Source organism: Homo sapiens, chromosome 5, assembly GCF_000001405.40.
Source record: "Homo sapiens chromosome 5, GRCh38.p14 Primary Assembly".
NCBI classification, from domain to species: Eukaryota; Metazoa; Chordata; class Mammalia; order Primates; family Hominidae; genus Homo; species Homo sapiens.
Genome location: NC_000005.10, coordinates 36848941 through 36853753, shown reverse-complemented (window position 1 = coordinate 36853753; position 4813 = coordinate 36848941).

The window sequence follows — 4813 nt, the reverse complement described above, 5'->3', positions numbered from 1 at the left end:
AAATCTGAGTACTTGCAGGGTTATCTTCTAAGGATAAATTTCTAGAAGTAGAATTGCTGGATCAAAAAAATATATCTACTGTATTGAAAATTTTGGTACATATTTTCGAATTGTCCTCCAGAAACATGATATCAATGTACAATCCTAGGTACCAGAGAATGTCCATTTCTTTTTTTAATCTACATTATTTTATTGTGAAAAACTCAGAATATAATAATTTTATGAGAATATTTTAAAACTACAAGGCACCCTATAAACATCTGATGAAACAGGGATTGACAGCTGTATTTCTGAAGCATTATATTTCTCATGGGGTATATTAGCTAGGCCTCTTTTTTTAATTATTATACTTAAAGTTCTAGGGTACATGTGCACAACGTGCAGATTTGATGCATAGGTATACATGTGCCATGTTGGTTTCCTGCACCCATCAACTCATTTACATTAGGTATTTCTCCTAATGCTATTCCTCCTCTAGCCCCCCACCCCCCGACAGGCCCAGGTGTGATGTTCCCCGCCCTGTGTCCAAGTGATCTCATTGTTCAATTCCCACCTATGAGTGAGAACATGTGGTGTTTGGTTCTCTGTCCTTGTGATAGTTAGTTCAGAATGATGGTTTCCAGCTTCATCCATGTCCCTGCAAAGGACATGAACTCATCCTTTTTACGGCTGCATAGTATTCCATGGTGTATACGTGCCACATTTTCTTAATCCAGTCTATCATTGATGGACATTTGGGTTGGTTCCAAGTCTTAGCTATTGTGAATAGTGCCGCAATAAACATACGTGTGCATGATTTATAATCCTTTGGGTATATACCCAGTAATGGGAATGCTGTGTCAAATGGTAATTCTAGTTCTAGATCCTTGAGGAATTGCCACACTGTCTTCCACAATCGTTGAACTAATTTACACTCCCACCAACAGTGTAAAAGCATTCTTATTTCTCCACATCCTCTCCAGCACCTGTTGTTTCCTGACTTTGTAATGATCGCCATTCTAACTGGTGTGAGATGGTATCTCATTGTGGTTTTGATTTGCATTTCTCTGATGACTAGCGATGATGAGCATTTTTCCATGTTTTTGGCTGCATAGATGTCTTCTTTTGAGAAGTGTCTGTTCATATCCTTTGCCCACTTTTTGATGGGGTTGTTTGTTTTTTCCTTGTAAATTTGTTTGAGTTCTTTGTAGATTCTGGATATTAGCCCTTTGTCAGATGAGTAGATTGCAAAAATTTTCTCCCATTCTGTAGGTTGCCTGTTCACTCTGATGGTAGTTTCTTTTGCCATGCAGAAGCTCTTTAGCTTAATTAGATCCCATTTGTCTATTTTGGCTTTTGTTGCCATTGCTTTTGGTGTTTTACTCATGAAGTCCTTGCCCATGCCTATGTCCTGAATGGTATTGCCTATGTTTTCTTCTAGAGTTTTTATGGTTTTAGGTCTAACGTTTAAGTCTTTAATCCATCTTGAATTAATTTTTGTATAAGGTGTAAGGAAGGGATCCAGTTTCAGCTTTCTACATATGGCTAGCCAGTTTTCCCAGCACCATTTATTAAATAGGGAATCCTTTCCCTATTTCTTGTTTTTCTCAGGTTTGTCAAAGATCAGATGGTTGTAGATGTGTGGTGTTATTTCTGAGGGCTCTGTTCTGTTCCATTGGTCTATATATCAGTTTTGGTACCAGTACCATGCTGTTTGGGTTACTGTAGCCTTGTAGTATAGTTTGAAGTCAGGTAGCGTGATGCCTCCAGCTTTGTTCTTTTGGCTTAGGATTGTCTTGGCGATGCGGGCTTTTTTTTGGTTCCATATGAACTTTAAAGTAGTTTTTTCCAATTCTGTGAAGAACGTCATTGGTAGCTTGTTGGGGATCACATTGAATCTATGAATTACTTTGGGCAATATGGCCATTTTCATGATCTTGATTCTTCCTATCCATGAGCATGGAATATTCTTCCATTTATTTGTGTCCTCTTTTATTTCGTTGACCAGTGGTTTGCAGTTCTCCTTGAAGAGGCCCTTCACATCCCTTGTAAGTTGGATTCCTAGGTATTTTATTCTCTTTGAAGCAATTGTGAATGGGAGTTCACTCATGATTTGGCTCTCTGATTGTCTGTTAACGGTGTATAGGAATGCTTGTGATTTTTGCACGTTGATTTTGTATCCTGAGACTTTGCTGAAGTTGTTTATCAGCTTAAGGAGATTTTGGGCTGAGATGATGGGGTTTTCTAAATATACAATCATGTCATCTGCAAACAGGGACAATTTGACTTCCTCTTTTCCTAATTGAATACCCTTTATTTTTTTCTCTTGCCTGATTGCCCTGGCCAGAACTTCCAACACTATGTTGAATAGGAGTGGTGAGAGAGGGCATCCCTGTCTTGTGCCAGTTTTCAAAAGGAATGCTTCCAGTTTTTGCCCATTCAGTATGATATTGGCTGTGGGTTTGTAATAAATAGCTCTTATTATTTTGAAATAGATTCCATCAATACCTAGTTTATTGAGAGTTTTTAGCATGAAGGACTGCTGAATTTTGTCAAAGGCCTTTTCTGCATCTATTGAGATAATCATGTGGTTTTTGTCTTTGGTTATGTTTATGTGATGGATTACGTTTATTGATTTGCATATGTTGAACCAGCCTTGCATCCCAGGGATGAAGCTGATTTGATCATGGTGGATAAGCTTTGCGATGTGCTGCTGGATTTGGTTTGCCAGTATTTTATTGAGTATTTTCACATCCATGTTCATCAGGGATGTTGGTATAAAATTCTTTTTCGGTTGTATCTCTGCCAGGCTTTGGTATCAGGATGATTTTGGACTCATAAAATGAGTTAGGGAGGATTCCCTCTTTTTCTATTGATTGGAATAGTTTCAGAAGGAATGGTACCAGCTCCTCTTCGTACCTCTGGTAAAATTCGGCTGTGAATCCGTTTGGTCCTGGACTTTTTTGGTTGGTAGGCTATTAATTATTGCTTCAATTTCAGAGCCTGTTATTGGTCTATTCAGACACTCAACTTCTTCCTGGTTTAGTCTTGGGAGGGTGTTTGTGTCCAGGAATTTATCCATTCCTTCCAGATTTTGTAGTTTGTTTGTGTAGATGTGGTTGTATTATTCTCTGTTGGTAGTTTGTGTTTCTGTGGGATCGGTGGTGATATCCCCTTTATCATTTTTTACTGCGTCTATTTGATTCTTCTCTCTTTTCTTCTTTATTAGTCTTGCTAGTGGTCTATCAATTTTGTTGATCTTTTCAAAAAACCAGCTCCTAGATTCATTGATTTTTTGAAGGGTTTTTGTGCCTCTATCTCTTTCAGTTCTGCTATGATCTTAGTTATTTCTTGCCTTCTGCTAGCTTTTGAATTTGTTTGCTCTTGCTTCTGTAGTTCTTTTAATTGTGATGTTAGGATGTCAATTTTAGATCTTTCCTGCTTTCTATTATGGGCATGTAGTGCTATAAATTTCCCTCTACACACTGCTTTAAATGTGTCCCAGAGATTCTGGTACGTTGTGTCTTTGTTCTCATTGATTTCAAGGAACATCTTTATTTCTGCCTTCATTTTGTTATTTATCCAGTAGTCATTCAGGAGCAAGTTGTTCAGTTTCCTTGTAGTTGTGCGGTTTTGAGTGAGTTTCTTAATCTTGCGTTCTAATTTGATTGCAGTGTGGTCTGAGAGACAGTTTCTTGTGATTTTTGTTCTTTTACATTTGCTGAAGAGTGCTTTACTTCCAATTATGTGGTCAATATTAGAATAAGTGCGATGTGGTGCTGAGAAGAATGTACATTCTTTTGATTTGGGGTGGAGAGTTCTATAGATGTCTATTAGGTCTGCTTGTTGCAGAGCTGGGTTCACGTCCTGGATATCCTTGTTAACCTGTCTGGTTGATCTGTCTAATATTGACAGAGGGGTATTAAAGTCTCCCATTATTATTGTGTGGGAGTCTAAGTCTCTTTGTAGATATCTAAAGACTTGCTTTATGAATCTGGGTGCTCCTGTATTGGGTGCATCTATATTTAGGATAGTTAACTCTTCTTGTGGAATTGATCTCATTACCATTATGTAATGGCCTACTTTGTCTCTTTTGGTCTTTGTTGGTTTAAAGTCTGGTTTATCAGAGACTAGGATTGCAACCCCTGCTTTTGTTTGCTTTCCATTTGCTTGGTAGTTCTTCCTCCATCCCTTTATTTTAGCCTATGGGCATCTTTGCACATGAGATGGGTCTCCTGAATACAGCACACTGATGGGTCTTGACTCTTTATCCAATTTGCCAGTCTGTGTCTTTTAATTGGGGCATTTAGCCCATTTACATTTAAGGATAATATTGTTATGTGTGAATTTGATCCTGTCATTATGATGTTCACTGGTTAGTTTGCCCGTTAATTGGTGCAGTTTCTTCATAGCATCGATGGTCTTTACAATTTGGCCTGTTTTTGCAGTGTCTGGTACCACTTGTTTCTTTCCACGTTTAGTGCTTCCTTCAGGAACTGTTGTAAGGCAGGCCTGGTGGTGACAAAATCTCTCAGCATTTGCTTGTCTGTAAAGGATTTTATTTCTCTTTTACTTATGAAGCTAAGTTTGCCTGGATATGAAATTCTGGGTTGAAAATTCTTTTCTTTAAGAATGTTGAATATTGGCCCCCACTGTCTTCTGGCTTGTAGGTTTTCTGCTGAGAGATCTGCTGTTAGTCTGATGGGCTTCCCTTTGTGGGTAACCTTACCTTTCTCTCTGGCTGCCCTTAACACTTTTTCCTTCATTTCAACCTTGGTGAATCTGACAATTATGTGTCTTGGGGTTGCTCTTCTCGAGGAGTATCTTTGTGGTG